The sequence below is a fragment of the Homo sapiens genome, chromosome 5 (assembly GCF_000001405.40).
Source record: "Homo sapiens chromosome 5, GRCh38.p14 Primary Assembly".
In the NCBI taxonomy this organism is placed as follows: Eukaryota; Metazoa; Chordata; class Mammalia; order Primates; family Hominidae; genus Homo; species Homo sapiens.
The window spans coordinates 17,653,500-17,675,274 of record NC_000005.10 but is presented as its reverse complement, the minus strand read 5'-3'; the positions used below and the strand labels follow the sequence as shown (position 1 = coordinate 17,675,274).

At 41.2% G+C, this 21,775-nt stretch overlaps 1 protein-coding gene and 1 pseudogene across 1 annotated transcript; both read left to right on the top strand.

Annotated features, from left to right (window-relative positions):
* H3P22 (H3 histone pseudogene 22) lies at positions 4,508-5,293 on the top strand (annotated as a pseudogene).
* Positions 5,294-19,425: 14,132 nt separating this feature from the next.
* H3Y1 (H3.Y histone 1) lies at positions 19,426-20,407 on the top strand. The gene has a single exon (NM_001355258.2). The coding sequence runs from the start codon at positions 19,737-19,739 to the stop codon at positions 20,145-20,147; it is 411 nt and encodes a 136-aa protein (NP_001342187.1). The 5' UTR covers positions 19,426-19,736; the 3' UTR covers positions 20,148-20,407.
* Positions 20,408-21,775: the final 1,368 nt, after the last annotated feature.

Sequence of the window (21,775 nt, the reverse complement as noted above, 5' to 3'; positions counted from 1 at the left end):
ATCTCTAAAAGGGACTAAAGTATGCATCATCTTCCAACTTTTTTTGACTAGAGAGAACTTTTTCCCGTGCCTTTTAAACACTGCAAGAAAAAAAAAAAGATTTCACACAGCAGAATCTAGGAGCCTCTTACCTACAATATAACTTTTCTTAACCTTCAAAACTGCCATAAATTCCCTCTGAAACAAGGCAATGGGAGATATAAATACAGAGATACAGAGAGGTTTTGCTTATTTGTTTTCAGTTCACCAAGTTATGTTCTCACATTTGATATTTTATCACACATAAGATATTAATACCAGAAAAGCAAATATGAGCTCAGCCATGTATTCATTTATCTTTTTGAAAACAAGAAGTTTACTCACATCAGTCAGTTCTTGACCCATAGTATCATAGCATTTGATTTTTGTCTGTGAGTTTCATATTATTCAAAAACTAATCTGTCTGAAGCTATTTTTATGTTAATGTCTATTTTATGTCCTTTCACTATGTTGAAAGTGTTGGCCAGTCATAATACATTCAAGTAATAAAAAAGCCCCAAAAATCAATCAACTAAGACCCCAACAGAATACTACCCTGGTGCAAGAATACCTTACACTTTCCTCTACCGAGGGAATCAGAAAATCTACAGGGTCTAAAATATGTGTAAGGGAATAGAAACAAAAAGAAAGAGGAAAGATTTTGTAACCTGGCCAAAGAGATAGTTTCCACTAATGAGCTGCCATTGTTAGAGGCTGTACAAACATTTGATTTAAAAGGACTTTATTGCTGTACTTCCTAAAGCTCACTTTTAAGATTGTAAGCATACTCCTGCTCTTTGAACTTTACTAGGTTTTCATGCTGTGATTTGACTACATGCTCTCCAAAATTCATGTTGACACTTAATTCCCATTGTGTTGGTATTAAGAGATGAGGTCTTTAGGTTGGTGATTAGGCCTTGAGAGGTCCCACCTCATGAACAAATTAGCATTCTTACAAAACGGTCACAGGCCACTCTTGCCCTTCCTCCTTCCTCCACATGAGGACAGAGTCATAAGGTGGCATTTTGAAACCTTAGAGTAGCCCTCACCAGACACCACTGTTGGCACCTTGATCTTGAACTCCCAGCCTCCAGAACAGTAAGAAATACATTTCTGTTCATTATAAATTACCCAGCCTAAGATATTTTGTTATAGCAGTGCAAAGGGGCTAAGACATAGGAGAAAACTGATGTGAAAGAACTCTGAAGAATTCTTAAACCTATTTAGTAAGTTTATTATTAAAACTGAAGATAATGGGAATTAACAGGGTTCAATGATAGATATTCCTAATTGTTCATCAAAATCTGTCTTCCTGTCTTCTGGGCATGTGGCTGTCCAGCCTCATTTGATGTTAACTTCAGCCATGTGTCCACTCTTACGCCAAGTTCCACTCTCAGGTCTAGCTCAACATTCCATGGGCAGTCCCCTCCCAGACTCTCTTCTCCTCAGTGTCAACTAGAGTATTTTGCAGACAAATTTTCCTCACAAAAATGATGACAAGACAGCAATGGAATAATTGAATTGCAACAAATCTGGATCCCTGAATAAATAACAGTGTGGAGCAGAGTTACTCATCAATCTGGAAAGCTCAACTCAGTCTGTTAAGCAGGAGATAAATAAATGTGAATTATTGAATTACACTATACAGAAAGAATGTCACTACCTGAGTTTAAGTCCCATATTTGCCACTGCCTGACTGGGTGAGCTCAGGCAAGTTGTCATTTCCTAATTTCTAAAATGAGAGTGTCTGGCCACATCAGTGCTTTGACAACAGTGTCTCACAGAGCCCTAATTCTCACATTTTTTAAATTATTTCAGAGGGTAGTTTTGGTGGTAGATGAAAGGACATGAGTTAGTGAAGTAGGAAGACATAAGAATCCTTACAATGTTGGTTTACAGACCCCAATTTTTTTCCCTCATCAACTAGTGCAACTCTCTGTTTTACACACTGGGCATTCAAGTATATGAATAAAGAATTCTGCAATTAGAAATATTTATCAAAACCACTAAGCTATAAAATGAATAACATATGCTTACATTCTGCCATTCTGTATTTTTAGTTGTTCAGTTTCTTAGTAACGATGCAGATTTTTCTCTAAAACATCTTTGCACTTTCACTTAATTGCACTTGTGATCAGTGACACATATTTCATAAGTGACCTGACAAAGTTAGTCACAGAGTCCATAGTCATAAAATTTAATTTTCTTTGTGCAAATTAACTAGGCTATCCAGGGATCTAAGATACAATCTTGACCTCATTAATTTTGTACTTGAATCAACTTACAGGGGAAAAAAAGAGGTAAGAAACATTTTGCTGTATTAAATGAGTTTTTCATATCCATTTGGTGCCTTCAGTTTGTTGTGGCAGAATTCTGGACAACAAGTAACAAAAATAATTGTTCTGTGATGTATTAATGTCTTTTAAACTCAACACTCCACCCTATGGCCCTCGTAATAGTGTCCATTGCATATGTCATTGACAGCCTTTCCTTTGACTCACTGACAATCAGAATCTAATCTCTCTGGATTCTCCAGGGTTATTTTGAAGAGTTATCATTTCTTGGTGATAACATTTCAATCCTCTAGACTACACAATTCAATACTCATCAACTTATGTCTAACACTCAAATCATTATCACTCATTACACCATTATATATATTTACTCTTATTTCTAACAATTTATCTATACTCACCCTCTCTGTAGACATATTCAATTATCTTTCTATATATTTATTTATAAAAACTAAACATTATTTGATATTAAATATTGATCAAAATTTACAGCTCCTGCTACCAAAGCACTTGGAGCTAATGCCATGGGATTTATTTTTAATAATACATTCTTTTCAATCAAATCATTAGTATTAAAAGACATAATATACATACAAATTGTAATGGTGTTACTTATTTTGTTACTATAGATCTCATAAAATTTCTTGTCTGCGAATGGCATGCATTATATGGATGAGTGTTGCTTTCTGCTACAAGTGTCAGAAAAGTGTAAGATGGATTGAAACAGGAATTTTGTTCTCATGAACCCACCTGGAGGTATCACCTGTTAACTCACATAAATGGCTCAATAAAGTCAGGGATGGCTTCTCTGTCATTTCCAACCTGGGCAATGGAAAGATGGCTCAATCCAGCCATCACATCCAGGTCCAAGACTGAGGAGGAGCCAAGAAGAGCATCAGTGATATTCACACAGGATCATTTTATCAGAAAAGCTTCCGCTTTCCCATGAGCCTCTCTGCAGTTTCCAATATGTGTTTCTTAGCAGAGAATAATGCCCCAGGAACATCCCTGCCACAGAGAAATATCAGCTAGAGGAGTGGCTACTTAGATTTTTCACATTCTCTTTCCTGGTGCTATGTACCATCAGAGCACCTGATAAAACAACTTCATGCCTCATCAACTGCCTAAGATACAACTTTATTAAAACATGTTTTTATTATAAATACTTCCATTACTATCATAAAATGTGAACTGTCAGAATCTCTGTTGCAGGCAGAATTCTGGATGACCACGGTATTAGTCTGTTGTCACACTGCTATAAAGAAATATCTGAGACTGGATAATTTATAAAGCAAAGAGGTTTAATTGACTCACTGTTCTGAATGGCTGGGGAGGCCTCAGGAAACTTACAATCGTGGCAGGAGGGGCAGCAAACACGTCCTTCTTCACAAGACAGCAGGAGAGAGAAGTGCGAAGAGTGAGAGGGAAGAGTCCCTTATAAAACCATTAGATCTTATGAGAACCCACTCACTATCCCAAGAACAGCATGGGGGAAACTGGGAAACTGCCCCCATGATTCAGTTACCTCCACCTGGTCTCTCCCTTGACATGGGGAGTATGGGGACTATAGGGATTACAATTCAAGATGAGATTTTAGGTGGTGACAACAAAACCGTATCAACCACCACCTATGATCCATCCCATAATGCATACTCCAGATATCTGCCCCTCTTTTGAGTGTTGGAGGAACCCATGAACTTAGTTTTTCATACCTTGATTAGGTTACAAATCTGTGAACCCGTAAATACAATGGAAGGTAACACCACCCTTTGGTGTGGCACTACCCATAGACTTGATAAGCTTTTACTGTGGGGGGTGGTGGGGGAGGGAGGAGAACCTCATTGGTGCCCCTTGCCCTGCCTCCCACCTCAGGATGATGCAGAGATCCTTTGAGCTGACACCTGGGCATGTCATCCCCTTACCCCCAGGACTGCACTCAGCCCTGACCAGTTACTTTGTAGGGTGGGATGGGGACAGCTCATTCTCATTAAATTAAAAATCTCGTGAAGCAATGAGTGCAATGGAAGCTAGCCAGGTGGCTCTAATGCAATCATCGCAGCGAATTATAAGACTCTAAACTTGGTTGAGACCACAGAGCAAGACTAGCTGCAAGAAGATTCCCACTGCCGGTGTGTAGACCTCGGAAGCCCAGGACCCCACAGGGCGAACGAGCAGCCTGACCCGCAGACCTGTGAGCAGGTAAGTCTAGGGCTGGATTGAAAGGGGCTAAGAGTGGGGTTGCGTCTTCTGCACAGATCTCAACTCACAGGCTCTCTGAGTCCTGTCCACAAACCCACCGCCCTCGCTCCCTGACGCCAGAGCTGCCTGCAGCTGGCCAGGCTCAGCCCAAGGACAGGGGAGAGGCCGCGGCCCTGCACCACAGTGGACATCAAGCAGAACACCTGCAAAGCCACCACCTCGGAGGCCCCCAGGAAGCCCCTGGCCACCAAAGCTGCCAGCAAGAGGGCGCCGCCTACAGGAGGGATCAAGAAGCCCCACGGCTACAGGTCTGGCACCCTGGCACTCTGCAAAATCAGAAAGTACCAGAAGTCCACTCAGCTGCTCCTGCGCAAGCTGCACTTCCAGCGCCTGGTGCGCGAGATCACCCAGGCCATCAGCCCGGACCTGCGCTTCCAGAGCGCAACCACTAGCGCCCTGCAGGAGCCCAGCAAGGCCTACCTGGTGCGCCTCTTTGAAGACACCAACCTGTGTGCCATCCATGCCAGGCACGTGACATGACAATTATGCCCAGAGACATGCAGCTGGCCCGCTGCCTCCGTGGAGCGGGTACTTAAGAGCCCACGCTCCTGGGATACCTTGCACTCTAGACGGCTTCGTTTCTCTTTTGTTGTGTTTTTTTTTTCTCTTCTTTCAGTTACTGGTAGTTCTGATGTTAGAAGTTTTATTACGTTCTGGTTTCTTTTCCCCCATGGGGTCCAAAAGTAGCTAAGAATATGATTGGGAGTGGAAACATAAGCAGAAATCACAGGTAGTGACTGTGTTTCTATTTGCTTTTATTTGTAAACTTTTATTCTGCATTGAGGGTCTAATGCATTAGTGTTGAGTGGAAATGTGTCAGTGAGCAAGTTTCAGCACTTCAGCTCTACATCAATTGTCAATACATTTGCTCTTTTGTGTGGAGAATGCCTCATTTAGACTATTTACAAGCAAATACATTTCTTCTTGATGGAAACTCGATGATATTTGTTGCACTTGATCAAACAGTAGATGAGACCCACACTTTGAAGTTTTCTATATGCAGCTACATGGTTTCAATGTTCCCTGTCTCCTGGGCTGTTCCTGCTAGTTTGCTATGAAAATACATCCAACTCTACTTTCTAAAAAGTGAATAGACTCTCTATCCACAAGTCACTTCACATTACAGGAGGCAGAACAGCCAGCGTGGGTCTGTTTATGGGTAGGAAAGAGAGAGACACTTATTAGAAGTTTCTAATGCAGTCCGTCACTGGTAGGTCAGTGTTCTAGAACATGGTCATGGCCATGCCCATGGCTGGAATGACCGGGGTCTTATTCAGGGAGGTGGTAGAAGCAGCCCTGGGTGTGTGTGAGATGGGGAATCAGACGCCCCGCTGCAGCCCAAGCATTGGAAGGAGGCTGTTCACAGATGAAAACCCAAGGGCCACTTCCTCAACACCTAGTACAAAATAATTGTCTTCTTCTGGGCCCCAGTCTAGATAGAAAGGCCTGTTCTTAAAGGACAAAGAACTGAATCCACTGTTTCTATGACAGGACTGCCTGTGCCCTGCACCTTCTGTGTTTTAGTCTAGGCTGAATTGACCGACGATTTTAAAGTCTTTCTCCAGCTGTGTCATTGATCTCATCTAGATGAAGGCAGCAGCTTCTTTCATAATTGCTTTGACTAAATATTTGTGCTTCTAAGGGCATATAGACACATTTTTCTGTTTCTTTCTACCTGGAAGAAAAAAGTTGTGTGGGTCCAAAGCATCCTGGGGACAGGAAGCTACTTTAAGAGAGAAAAACTCTTCCAAGAGACTTATGTGTTTTCATACTGAAGCCTGGAGTTGCAATGTCTTAGCTTTTATGCTTGTTGCTTGATTTCAACAGGTGAAGCCTCCAGAAACTATTTCCTTATGGTAGTCTATCCAGAAGGCTGTGTCCTGACCAGGAGACTGGAATTGATTTGAATGAATGAAATTTGAATGAATGAAAATTGAATTTTCATTTGTCATCCACTGAACTATTTTCTGACTTTTGCAAGAAATGAAATTAAAATTACACACCAAATTGTTGTCTAAAATGACTTTACTCACATTGCTACCAATATTGTTTTATGTCAGGGAGGGCTATTTGATAATATTAAAATGGTAAAGTATTCTAGAAGCCGCATGGAAAACTTCAGAGAGAAAACAGACCCTAGAAACACTGTCTAGTCTCTGCACTCATTTCCATGCCTTCAGCTCTGAAGAATCGGTTTTACTGTAAACTATTTTTATAGCTAAGGTAATATACTGATCTCTCTGTTGTCCTTCGGAGAAAGAAAAATACATCTGACATGTAATTTTATAGTACATAAGAATTCTCACATATTTTAATTTTATATTATGGTGTTAAAATGCAAAAATTAAAGAAAAAATTCCTATGATTATAAGATTTAAGCATTAAATATTTTCATTAAAATAAAACACTCTTTCTAATTACACTGACATATAATTCATCAAATACTCTGAATATAAGAGAAATGGGAACAAATGTATAATAAAAAATCAAATGAACTTCTGGTGTTCGTGGTGGCGTGGATGGAGCTTAGTCGTCATCACTCTGCCCTAACAACAAGCATAAAATTTAAAAAGTGCAAAATTGGCCAGGCATGGTGGTTCATGCCGGTAATCCCAGCACTTTGGGAGGCCAAGGCAGGCAGATCACCTGAGGTCGGAAGTTCAAGACCAGCCTGGCCAACATGGAGAAACCCCATCTCTACTAAAAAAAAAAAAAAAATACAAAAATTAGCCTGGCATGGTGGCGCCTGCCTATAATCCCAGCTACTCGAGAGGCTGAGGTAGGAGAATCGCTTGAACCTAGGAGGTGGAGGTTGCGGTGAGCCAAGATCGCACCATTGCACTCCAGCCTGGGCAACAAGAGTGAAACTCTGTCTCAAAAAAAAAGTGAAAAATCAACATCTCTTTTGACATTTCTCTGAGTAGTGAGGTCACAGGGCAAACTGCGGAGAAAATAAAAAGATCTGTGCTTTCCTCACTTCAAAGTATTCTATAAAATGATAGTAACCCAAGCAGAATAACACTGGCTTAAAAACAGACACTTAGACCACTGGAACAGAATAGAGGCCACAGAAGTCAATCCAGACATGTACGGCCTACTGAGTTTACACAAAGGTGACAACAACAATGAAGAAATGACTGTCTTTTCAATCAATGGTGACAGGAAAACTAGATATCCACATGCAAAATAATCAGATTATACCCTTTTCTCTTAGCATATACAAAAATACACTAAAATCTCTTTCAAACTTCAGAGCAGGACCCTCAACTATGACCCTACTACAAGAAACGTAGGGAAAAACATCCCCAACGCTGGTTAGGCTAGTGATCTTTTAGATATAACCCAAAAACACAGACAACGAAAGCAAAAGTAGACAAAAGGAATTACATCTAACAAGTTTCTGCACAACAAAGGAAACAATCATCAGAGTGAAGAGAAAACCAGCAGAATGGAACAAAATATTTGCACACCATATATCTGATAGGAATAAATTTCCAAAATACCTAAGAAACTCAAACAACTCAATAGGAAGAAAACAAAAATCCAAAATAAAAATAACCAAAAGACCTAAAGAGACATTTATAAAAAAAAAGACAGAAAGGTATGGCCAGTGGTTGTATGGAAAAATGCTCCACATCACTAACCATCACAGAAATGCAAACTACAACCAAAATAAAATATTACGTCACACCCATTAGAATAACTGTTATGAAAATGTCAAGAGATAACAATTGTAGATGAAGATGTGAAGAAAAGGGAAACCGCTTGCCCTGTTGGTGAGAATGCAAATTAGTACAACCACTACAGAAACTAGTATGGCAGTTCCTCCAAAAACTAAAAATAGAGCTACGATATGTTCCACCAATGCCACACTGCTAAATATATATCCAGAGGAAATAAAATTAGTATACTGAAGAGCTGTCTGTATGCTCATGTCTATTGAAGCAGTATTTACAATAGCTAAGATATAAAATCAACATAAGTGTCCAAAAAAAGATGATTGGATAAAGAAGATGTGATATGTATACACAACAAAATACATCTCCAGGTTCATCTATGTGTTCTTATATTTTAAGGCTACTTAAGGAATAGCCTAAAAAAATAAGGACACATAGATGAACCTGGAGATCATTATGCTATGTTATGCTATGTGAAATACGCAAGGCATAGAAAGACAAATACTACTTGACCTCAATCTTACGTAGAATCTAAAAAAGTTGATCTTATAGAAGTAGACAGTAGCATGGTAGTTACCATGGGTTGGGGTGGCAGGGGTGGGGTATTTGAGGAGACAGTCAAAATATACAAAATTTCAGTCACGTGGGAGGAATAAGTTCAAGAGATCTATTTTACAGCGTGGTGACTCCACCTAACAATATATCGTGCTCTTGAAAAATGCTAAGAGTGAATGTGAAGTGTTCTTAACAAAACTACAATAACTATGTAAAAATTAGCTAGATTTTGACATTGTAAAATGTATATAATACATCATGTTGTACATAACAAGTATATACAATATGAAATGTCAGTAGACAAGATTTACCAATAAATAAATATAGAGATCCATGGTGGGAAGGGGTTGGTGCTGAAAGAAGGAATAGAGAAGCTAGAGACAAAAGATTTTTAGAGAAGTGAAACTATTTCATAGGACACTATGGTTGCGGATGCCTGTCATGATGCATCTGTCCAAACCCATAGAATGTACAACAAAAACATAGTGAACCCTAATGTAAGCTACAGACTTTGAGTGATAATAATATGTCAATGTGGGTTCAATGATTGTAACTCACATACAATCTGGGATAGGGAGTTGATACCGGAGGGAGGCTATGCCTATGTGGGGGAAAGGATATAGGGGAACTCTCTACTTTTTGCCCAATTTTGCATAAAACTAAAACTTTTCTATAAAATGAGCACAAAATTCTTAGCTAGAGCCATCAGGCAAGAGGAAGAAATAAAAGGTATTAACATTGGAAAAGAGCAAGTCAGACTATCTCTGTTGCCTGGTGATCTGATGGTATACACAGCAAACCTTAAACACTCCTACAAAAGACAGCCAGACCTTATAGGTAAATTCAGTAAAATCTCAGCTTACAAAAGTCATGCACACAAATTAATAGCATGCTATACACCAACAACAGCCAAGATGAGAATTAAATCAAAAACTCAATCCCTCTTACAGTAGCTACATATGTATATGGGAATATACTTTAAAAAGAAAGTAAAAGATTCCAACAAGGAGAACTACAAGGCACTGCTGAAAGAAGTAATAGATGGTACAAACGAGCAGGAATACTTTCCATGCCCGTGGATTAGAAAAAACAGTATTGTTAAAAAAAAAAAAAAAAAAAAAACCATGCAGCCCAAAGCAAACTACAGATTCTATGCAATTTCTTCCCAAATAACAATGTCATTTTATGCAGAGTTAGAAAAAAAAAATTCTACAGTTCATATGGAACCAAAAACAGCTAGGATAGCCAAGCCATCCTAAGGAAAAGGAATAAATATGGAGGCATCACATTACCGGACTTCAAAGTATCCCAAAAGGCTATGCCAAACAATGTGGTATTGGCACAAAAGTAGATCCGCAGACCAATGAAACAAAATAGAGAAAACAAAAATAAAGCCAACTGATTTTGACAAAGCATACAGAAACATCGACTGGGGAAATAACACCCTATTGAATAAATGGTGATGGGAACATTGAATAGCCGCACACAGAAGAAAGAAACTGGATCCCTATCTTTCATCATACACAAAAATTTACTTAAGGTGACTTCAAGACTTAAATCTAGGTCCTGAAACAATAAAAACTCTAGAAGAAAACCGGAAAAACTCTTCTAGACATTGGCCTAGGCAAAGAACTTATAACAAAGACCCCAAAAGCAAATTCAAAAAAAGCAAAAATAAATCAGTGGGAGCTAATGAAAAGAAAAAGCTTCTCCAAAGCAAAATAAATCATCAGAGTAAACAAACAACCTACAGAATGGGAGAAACTATTTGCAAATTATGCCTCTGGCAAAGGACTGATAGATCCAGAATCTACAAGAAATTGAAACAAATCAAAGAAAACACAAATAATCCCATTAAAAAGTGAGCAAACAACATGCATAGACGTTTCTCAAAAGAAGACACACAAACAACTAATAAACAGGGAAAAATGCTCCACATCTCTAATTATCAGGGAAATGCAAATTAAAGCCACAATGAAAAACAGCTGAGTTTCTCACCCACCTTACCCCAGCGAGAATGGCCATTATTCAATAGTCAAAGAACAGCAGGTGTTGGCGTAAATGTGGTGAAAAGGAAACGTTTAGGCATTGCTGGTGGAATGTAAATTAGTACAACCTCTGCAGAAAACGGTGTAGAGATTTCACAAGGAACTCAAAGTAGATCTACTATTCCATCCAGCAATCCCACTACTGGGTACACACCTAAAAAAAAGAAGTCATTATATCAAAGAAACCTGCACACATATTTTTATCACAGCACAATTCACAATTGCAAAGATATAAAATCAACCTAAGTGCCCATCAGCTGACGAGTGGGCCCCAAGATGGCCAATCGGAAGCAGCTTTGGTCTGTGGCACTCACAGAGAGGAAGAGGGGCGAGTGAATGCAGCACCTTCAACTGAAATATCCAGGTACTCACATTGAGACTATGTAGGAAAACAACCTGACCCATGGAGAATGAAGAAAAGCAGGATGGGCCGGGCGCGGTGGCCCACGCCTCTAATCCCAGCACTTTGGGAGGCCGAGGCGGGCGGATCACGAGGTCAGGAGATCAAGACCATCCTTGCTAACACGATGAAGCCCCATCTCTACTAAAAAATAGAAAAAATTAGCCGGGCGTGGTGGCGGGCGCCTGTAGTCCCAGCTACTCGGAAGGCTGAGGCAGGAGAATGGCGTGAACCTGGGAGGCGGAGCTTGCAGTGAGCCGAGATTGCGCCACTGCACTCCAGCCCAGGCGACAGAGGGAGACTCCGTCCCAAAAAAAAAAAAAAAGAAAGAAAGAAACCAGCCAATGCCCATCAATCGGGTCGATAAAGAAAATGTTTATATATATGTATATACACCACTGAATACAACTCAGCCAAAAATAGGAAAGAAAAAGAAAAAGAAAAGTAGGGTGGAGAAACGGTCCACCCTGGAGCAACACAGAGCCAAGGGAACCCGCACCCCCGGTGGAGGGAAGCAGTGAGTGATTGCATGCCCCCGGGAAACCACACTTCTCCCGTGGATCTTTGCAATCTGTGGATCAGGAGGTCCCCTTATAGGCCCGTGTCTCCAGCGCCTTGGATCTGATGCACACAGCTGTGTGGAGTCTCCACAGAGCAGCTGCTCAAACATGTACAGAGACCCAGGAGCTTTACATATTCTGGCCTCGGGATCCCTGGCAAGGACATCTGCAGCTCAGGCAAGGCAGAAGGTCTGTGCATAACCCTAGGAAGGGGGCTAAATCCTGGGGGCTGAGCAGCAACAATCTGCAGGCCCCACTTACATGGCAACTCACAAGATAGGACCCACTGGCTTGGAATTCTAGCCAGCCACAAGAAACAAGGTGGAGCCTGCCTGAGACAGGACAGAGACCCCAGGAAAGGGCCAAGCTACTATCTATGCTGTTTGGTCAACTCGGCTGTTTCGGTCTGTGGGCTTTGGAGAGTCCAAATGGTCGGGATGAGGTAGGGTGCCCCCAGCACAGCACAGCTGCTTTCCCAGAATGTAGCCAGACTGCTTCTTTAAGCAGGACCCCAATCCACTGCTCCTTGTGGGGTGGGTCCTCCCAGCCAGGGCCTCCAGCCATACCTGCCTCTGTTCTACAGCTGACAGAGTTCTAATTTCTCCCTGAGTCTAAGTACCCATGGGGTAGGGCATGCTGCCACCATGACTGTTCAGGCATCTCAGCTGGTCCAGCCTGTGGGCCTTGGAGAGCCTTAATGGATCAGGGGCTGAAGGGATTTCCAATACAGCACAGCTGCTCCACCAAAAAGCAGTTAGATTGCTTAAGTATGTCCCTGATCCTATTCCCCTCAACTGCATGAGATTTTCCCAAGCAGTGTAACCAGCCACCTCCTACATATACATTCAAGCCAGTAACAAGTTTAGTACCCTCCTGGGACAAAGTTTCCAGAGGAAGAAGCAAGATGCCATCTGTGCTGTTTTGCAGTTTTCAAGGGTGATAATTCCAAGTATGGGAAAAACCCAGGTGACTACAATCTGGAGCAGACACCCAGCAAACTGCAGCAGCCCTACAGAAGAGTGGCCAGAGTGTTTAAAAAAAAAAAAAATCAAACAGCAAACAACAACCACAACAAAACCAAAACCCCCATCTAAAGGTCAGCAACCTCAAAGCTTAAAGCTAGATAAACCCACAAAGATAAGAAAGAATTTGACAATGCTTTTTATTTTCTCTTACATTTCTTTCAGATGAAATTAAGCTTCAGAGAATAACATCTCCTATCACATTCGTATCACATTTTTGCATATCTAACTTGATTTTTTTCTCCTGAACTTTACTAAGTGATGTTGATATTCATCAGTTTCAATTTTGAAAAAAAAAAGAAATTCATGTTGCCTCTTTTAATTCTTAAAAAAAAAAAAAAGAAAAGAAAGAATTAGCACAAAAAAACCCTGAAAACTCAAAAACCCAGAGTGCCCCTTTTCCTCCAAATGACCACAACACCTCTCCACCAAGGGCTCAGAAATGGGCTGAGACTGAGATGGCTAAAATTTGCCATCATGTCCTTTGTAGGGACATGGATGAAATTGGAAAACATCATTCCCAGTAAACTATCGTAAGAACAGAAAACCAAACATCGCATATTCTCACTCATAGGTGGGAATTGAACAATGAGATCACATGGACACAGGAAGGGGAATATCACACTCTGGGGACTGTTGTGGGGTGGGGGGAGGGGGGAGGGATAGCATTGGGAGATATACCTAATGCTAGATGACGAGTTAGTGGGTGCAGTGCACCAGCATGGCACATGTATACATATGTAACTAAACTGCACAATGTGCACATGTACCGTAAAACTTAAAGTATAATAAAAAAAACTTTTAAAAAATTTAAAAATAAAAAAATAAAAAAATTACAGGATGTGGATAAAAATAAACTTCGCTGACCTAAAAGATCACGTTGTAACCCAATGGAAAGAAGCTAAGAATAATGATAAAACAATGTGGACTTAGACTCCCACACAATAATAATGAGAGACTTTAACACCCCACTGACAATATTAGACAGATCATCAAGACAGAAAATTAACAGATATTCAGGACCTGAACTCAGCTCTGGATCAAATGGACCTAATAGATATCTACAAAACTCTCCACCCAAAAACAATAGAATATACATTCTTCTCCTCACCACACAGCAGTTACTCTAAAATTAATCACATAATTGGAAGTAAAACACTTTTCACCAAATGCAAAAGAACTGAAATTATAACAGTCTCTTGGACCACAGCACAATCAAATTAGAACTCAAAATTAAGAAATTCACTCAAAACCGTACAACTACGTGGAAACTGAACAACCCGCACTGGAATGACTTTTGGGTAAATAATGCAATTAAGGCAGAAATCAAGAAGTTCTTTGAAACTAATGAGAATGAAGATAAAAATGTACCAGAATCTCTGGGATGCAGCTAAAGCAGTGTTAAGAGGGAAATTTGTTGCACTAAACACCCACATCAAAAAGTTAGAAAGGACTTGTTAAAAACCTAACATCACAACTAAACATCTAGAGGACAGGAGCAAACAAATGCCAAAGCTAACAGAAGATAGTAAATAACCAAGATCACAGCTGAACTGAAGGAGATAGAGACACAAAAAAAACCTTTCAAAAAATCAATGAATTCAGTAGCAGGTGTTTTGAAAAAATTAATAAAATAGATAAACTTCTAGCTAGGCTAATAAAGAAGAAAAAGAGAAGATTAAAATAAACACAATCAGGCTGGGTGCAGTGGCTCACGCCTGTAATCCCAGCACTTTGGGAGGCCGAGGCTGGTGGATCACAAGGTCAAGAGATCAAGACCATCCTGATCCAAAATGGTGAAACTCTGTCTCTACTAAAAATACAAAAATTAGCTGGGCATGGTGGCGTGCACCTGTAGTCCCAGCTACTCGGGAGGCTGAGGCAGGAGAATCGCTGGAACCCGGGAGGTGGAGGTTGCAGTGAGCCGAGATAGCGCCACTGCACTCCAGCATGGTGATACAGACTCCGTCTCAAAAAAAAAAAAAAAAAAACACACACACATAATCAGAAATACGGGGGATATCACCACTAACCCCACAGAAATACACACAACCATCAGAGACTATAAACAACACCTCCATGCACATAAACTAGAAAATTAGAAGAAATAGATAAATTCCTGGACACGTATACCCTACCAAGACTGATCCAGAAAGAAATCAAATCCTCAAATAGACCAATAAGTTCTAAAATTGAAGCAGTAATTAATAGCCTACCAACCAAAAAAAGGCCCAGGACCAGAGGATTCACAGTTGAATTCTACCAGAAGTAAAAAAAAAAAAAAGGGAGCTGGCACCATTCCTACAGAAACTATTCCAAAATATTAGGCCAGCATCATTCTGATACCAAAACCTGGCAGAGATACAACAAAAAAGAAAACTTCAGGCTAATATCCTTGATGAACATTGATGCAAAATTCTTCAACAAAATGCTGGCAAACCAAATCCAGCAGCATATCAAAAAGCTTATCCACCACAATCAAGTAGGCTTCATCCCTGTGATGCAAGGCTTGTTCAACATATACAAATCAATAAATATGATTCATCACATAAACAGAACTAAAGACAAAAGCCACATGATTATCTCAATAGATGTAGAAAAGGCCTTTCATAAAATTCAACATCACTTCATGTTAAAAACTCTCAATAAACTAGGTATCAAAGGAACATACCTCAAAATAATAAGAGCCGTATATGATAAATCCACAGCCAATATCATACTGAATGGTCAAGGGCTGGAAGCACTTCCTGTGCAAACTGGCACAAGAAAAGTTTGCCCTTTCTCACCACTCCTATTCAACATAGTACTGGAAGTCTTAGCCAGAGTAATCAGACAAGAGAAAGAAATAAAGGGCATCCAAATTGTTAAAGAGGAATTTAAACTGTCACTGTCTCCAATGGTATGATTGTATACCTAGAAAATCTAAAGACTCATGTAGAAAGCTCCTAGATCTGTTAAATGAATTCAGCAAAGTTTAAGGATACAAAATCAGTGTATACAAATCAGTAGCACTGCTATAAACCAACAGTGACCAAGCTGAGAATCAAATCAAGAACTCAGCCCCTTTTATAATAGCTGCGAAAAATAAAGTAAAATACTTAGGAATATACCTATCCAAGGATGTGAAAGACCTCTACAAGGAAAAGTGCAAAATACTGCTGAAAGAAATCATAGATGAAACAAACATAAAAACATCCCGTGTTTATGGAGGGGTAGAATCAATATTGTAAAAATGACCATACTGCCAAAAGCAATCTATAAATTCAATGCAATTTCCATCAATATTCCATTATCATTCTTCGCAGAACTAGAAAAAAACTGTTCTAAAATTTATATGGAGGTATAAAAGAGCCTGCATAGACAAAGTAAGGCTGAGCACAAAGAAGGAATATAGAGGCATCACATTACCCAACTTCAAATTATACTACAAGGCTATAGTTACCAAAACAGCATGCTACTGGTATAAAAATAGGCATATAGACCAATGAAACAAAATAGATAATCCAGAAATAAAGCCAAATACTTACAGCCAACTGATCTTCGACAAAGCAAACAAAAGCATAAAGGAGCGAAAGGACACCCTATTCAACAAATAGTGCCAGGATAATTGGCAAGCCTCATATAGAAGGATGAAAGCAGATCCTCAACTCTCACCTTATACAAAAATCAACTCAAGATGGATGAAAGACTTTAAATCTAAGACCTGAAGCCATAAAAATTCTAGAAGATAACATCAGAAAAACTCTTCTAGACATTAGCTTAGGCAAAGAGTTCATGACCAAGAAGAACCCAAAAGCAAATGCAAGAAAAACAAAGATAAATAGATAGGACTTAATTAAACTAAAAAGTTTCTGCACAGCAAAAAAACTTAATAAGAATCAGCAGAGTAAACAACCTATAGAGTGGGAGAAAATATTCACATACTGTGTATCTTACAAAGGACTAATATTCAGAATCTACAAGGAACTAAAACAAAGCCTCAAGGAAAAGAACAAACAATCCCATCAAAAAGTGGGCTAAAACATAAACAGGCAATTTTCAAAAGAAGATATACAAATGGCCACCAAACATATGAAAAAAATGTTCAGTAATGATCATGGAAATGTAAATCAAAACCACAATGCAATGCCACCTTACTCCTGCAAGAACGCCATAATTAAAAAATCAAAAAATAATAGATGTTATGGTGGAGGAGGTGAGGGACACTTTTACACTGCTGACAGGAATGTAAACTAGCACAACCACTATGGAAAACAGGGTGGAGATTCCTTAAAGAACTAAAAGGAGATCTATCATTTGATCCACCAATCCCACTACTGGGTATCTGCCCAGAGAAAAATAAGTCATTATATGAAAAAAACTCTTGCACACACGTGTTTATAGCAGCACAATTCACAATTGCAAAAATATGAAACCAGGCTGGGCACAGTGGCTCACACCTGTAATCCCAGCACTTTGGGAGGCCGAGGTGGGTGGATTATGAAGTCAGGAGATCGAGACCACCCTGGCTAACATGGTGAAACCCTGCCTCTACTAAAAATACAAAAAATTAGCCAGGCGTGGTGGCAGGCACCTGTAGTCCCAGCTATTAGGGAGGCTGAGGCAGGAGAATGGCGTGAACCCGGGAGGTGGAGCTTGCAGTGAGCCAAGATCGTGCCACTGCACTCCAGCCTGGGTGACAGAGTGAGACTCCATCTCAAAAAAAAAACAAAAAACAAAAAACAACCAATGCCCATCATCTGGTTGATAAAGAAAATGTTATATATATATAAATGTTATATAGATGTGTGTGTGTGTGTGTGTGTGTGTGTGTGTATAGATATACCACTGAATACAACTCAGCCAAAAATAGGAAAGAAATAATGGTATTCCCAGCAACCTGGATGGAATTGGAGACCATTACTTTAAGTGAAGTAACTCAAGAATGGAAAATCAAACATCATATGTTCTCACTTATAAACAGGAGCTAAGCTATGACAACACAAAAACATAAGAATGTTACAGTGGACCTTGTGGAACTTAGATGGAAGGGTGGAAAGGGGTGAGGAATAAAAGACTACACATTGGGTACAGTGTACACTGCTCAGGTGATGGGCACACCAAAATTTCAGAAATCACCATTAAATCACTTATCTGTGTAACCAAGCACCACCTGCTCCCCAAAAACTATTGAAATAATAATAAAACAAAAGAAAACAAACAAAAAGAAAACAGGAACATATACACCATGGACTGCTACTCAGCCATAAACAGGAATGAAACTATGTCATTTCAGCAACTTGGATGGAACTGGAGGCCATTATTCTCCGTAAAGTAACTCAGCAATCTACAAGCAAATAGTGCACCATCTCACCTAGAAGTGAAAGCTAAGCTATGGGTCCACAAAAGCATGCAGTGTAATATACTAAACATTAGAGACTCAGAAGTGGGGAAGGTGAGAGGAGGGTGATGGAGGAAGAAACTGCCTGTTGAGTAAAATGTAAACTGAGTGATAAGTGCACTAAAATCCCAGACTTCAGCACTATACAATTCATCTACGGAACGAAAGACAACTTGTACTCCTAGAGCTATTGAAACACATTTTAAAAAATTTAACAACAAAATAATAATAATAAGCTCGAATCTTAAAACACTAATACGAACTTATTTTGTAAGTACTGATATCATGGAAACTATTGTTCTGTGTGCCATACCTACATTGAATTGGGCACTAATTTCTACTATAGGTATCACAAAAGTCTTTTAGCAGTATATTTGAATAGAATTCACAACTACACAATTTATCCATGGAACCTGAAGCCACAGGTACCCCTACAAATATTGAAATAACAAAATATATTCAATGTTTTCTTAGCTCTGCTGTGACCTCGGGTCAGCAGGTCAGTGAGGTCAAAGCTGGCTTCTCAGGACCTCGTGGCATTCCCATCATGGGCAACGGCAGGATAGCTCAGCTCAGGTGTCCCTTCCACCTTCATAGGGGAAAAGGAGCTTGAGGGGGCTGAGGGGGAGCACCAGCGACAGTCACGTGATTCTTTTCTCAGGAAAGCTTTGGCTTATCCGGAGCCAAACCTGCTGGAGGCTACGAGAAGATTTTCACGAGTGTCACTTTTGGGGAGAAAATGTCAGAGGAGAATCCCTGACAGAGAAGTGACCATTTCAAATTTTTCAAATTTCCATACCCCCCCGCCCACCCCGCTCCCGGAACACTTCATTCTCAAAGGAACTGATAAAATCTCATGATCTCATGCATTGGTGTTTTGAAGCAGATGTGCAAGTTGGCTAACTTTCGACTTTATTAAAAAAAATTTTTCACTGTCAATATTTCCATGATGATGGAGAAAATGTAAACTTTCAGACTCTCTTTCACACCTAGAACTTTAGGTGACCCACCCACCTACCATCCCTCCCACAAGGCGCACTCCAGAAGGTTCGTTCTCCATTGGGTGTGTGCAGAACCCAGGGACTTGATTGGGTTTTCACAGCCCTGATTAGGTTGAGGATCTAGTGGAGCAGGAAGTACAATGGAAGGGAGCTGGGTGGGTCTAATCCAATCATCTGAGCTCCTTATAAGAGGCAGGGTTTTACTGAGACCACAGAGATCTCCAGTCAGAAAGAGACTGCCTGCGAGGGAGATTCCTGGCTGCTGCTTTGTAGACCAAGGAAACCCAGGACCCTCCGGAAAGACTAAGCAGCGCGGCCTCCGACCCACAGACCTGAGGGCTGGTAAGTGTGGGGCTGGGTTGGCAGGGGCTAAGTGTGTGGGAGAGTCATGCGCATGGATCTCAACTCACAGGCTCTCTGAATCCTGTCCACAGCACCACTGCCCTCGCTCTCTGACGCCAGCACCGCCTGCAGCCGGCCAGGCTCAGCCCAAGGACAGGGGAGAGGCTAAGGCCCCGCGACATGGCGCGCACCAAGCAGACCGCCCGCAAAGCCACCGCCTGGCAGGCCCCCAGGAAGCCCCTGGCCACCAAAGCAGCCGGAAAAAGGGCGCCGCCTACAGGAGGGATCAAGAAGCCTCACCGCTACAAGCCTGGCACCCTGGCGCTGCGGGAAATCAGAAAGTACCAGAAGTCCACGCAGCTGCTCCTGCGCAAGCTGCCCTTCCAGCGCCTGGTGCGCGAGATCGCCCAGGCCATCAGCCCGGACCTGCGCTTCCAGAGTGCGGCCATTGGCGCCCTGCAGGAGGCCAGCGAGGCCTACCTGGTGCAGCTCTTTGAAGACACCAACCTGTGTGCCATCCATGCCAGGCGCGTCACAATTATGCCCCGAGACATGCAGCTGGCCCGCCGCCTCCGCAGAGAGGGTCCTTAAGAGCCCAAAGGTAGCTAAGCATAGGATTGGGAGTGGAAACAGGCAGAAATCAGGTCTTGGTGGTGTTTCTGTGTGCTTTTGTTTGTTAATGTCTAATCTACCTTGAGGGTCATAAGGCACTAGTGTCAGGTGGGAATGTTTCAGTGAGCGAGTTTCAGCACTTCAGCTCTACATCAATTTTCAAGAAACCTGTTCATTTTCACTGGACTATGCCTGTGTTTAGACTACTTCAAACCAAATAAATCTCTTCCTGATGGCAACTCAGTGATGTTTGTTTAACTTGATCAGTAGATGAGATCCACACTTTGACTTTTCCTGTATGCAGCTCTGTGTTTGCAATGTTCCCTGTGTCATGGGCTGTTTCTACTAGTTTGCTATGAACACACATTCAACTCCACTTTCTAAAATACGAATAGACTGTATCCACAAGTCACTTCACATTATGGGAGGCAGTGTGGGTGTGTTCCTGGGTAGGAAAGGGAAAGAGGCAGCCTTTAGAAGTTTGATACTGTCCATCTCTGGCAGTTCAGCGTCCTAGAATATGGTCGCATCCATGGCCATGACTGGAGTGACCCAGGTCTTGGTAGGGGAGGTAGTAGGAGAGGCCTTGGAAGTGTATGAGACGTGGGGAGACACGCCCCCGCTGCAGCCCAACCATTTGAGGCAGGCTGTCTGCAAGTTCAAGTTTAAGGGCCACTTTTTATTATTATTATTATTACATTTTTTTATTATTTTATTTTATTTTATTTTTTTGAGACGGAGTCTCACTGTCTCCCAGGCTGGAGTGCAGTGGCGCGATCTCAGCTCACTGCAAGCTCCGCCTCCCGGGTTCACGCCATTCTCCTGCCTCAGGCTCCTGAGTAGCTGGGACTACAGGCGCCCGCCAACATGCACAGCTAATTTTTGTATTTTTAGTAGAGACAGGGTTTCACCATGTTAGCCAAGATGATCTCGATTTCCTGACCTCGTGATCTGCCCACCTTGGCTTCCCAAAGTGCTGGGATTACAGGCATGAGCCACCATGCTCAACCAATTTTTTTCTTTTTTTGAGATGGACTCTCGCTCTGTCGCCAGGCTGGAGTGCAGTGGCGCGATCTTGGCTCACTGCAATCTCTGACTCCCTGGTTCAAGCGATTCTCCTGCCTCAGCCTCCCGAGTAGCTGGGACTACAGCCACGCGCCACCATGCACAGCTAATTTTTGTACTTTTAGTAGAGACGGGGTTTCACCATGTTGGCCAAGATGGTCTCGATCTCCTGACCTCGTGATCTGCCTACCTCGGCCTCCCAAAGTACTGGGATTACAGAGGGCCACATTTTTAACAAGTACCAAAAAATCATGTGATTTTAGACTCAAGGCCAGAAAAGAAATCCTGGGGGGAAACATACTTGTTCCATGTTCCCTATGACAGAAGACTTTGTGTGCCAGAGCTTCAGTGTCTCAATCTACCCTGAATTTACCCACAATTTTTATATCTTCCTCAAACTCTTAAATTGGCCACACCTAGATGAAGGAAGCAACCTATTTCATTATCACTTTGACTAAATATTTGGATCGTTTCTGACATCTGAGTTTTTTCTACATCTTCCTATTTGGAAGAATAAACTTGTATGGGCCTTTTGCACCCTC

Excerpts from the sequence above, each read along its gene's own strand:
- H3Y1 (NM_001355258.2), top strand. The coding sequence starts at position 19,737 with ATGGCGCGCACCAAGCAGACCGCCCGCAAAGCCACCGCCTGGCAGGCC.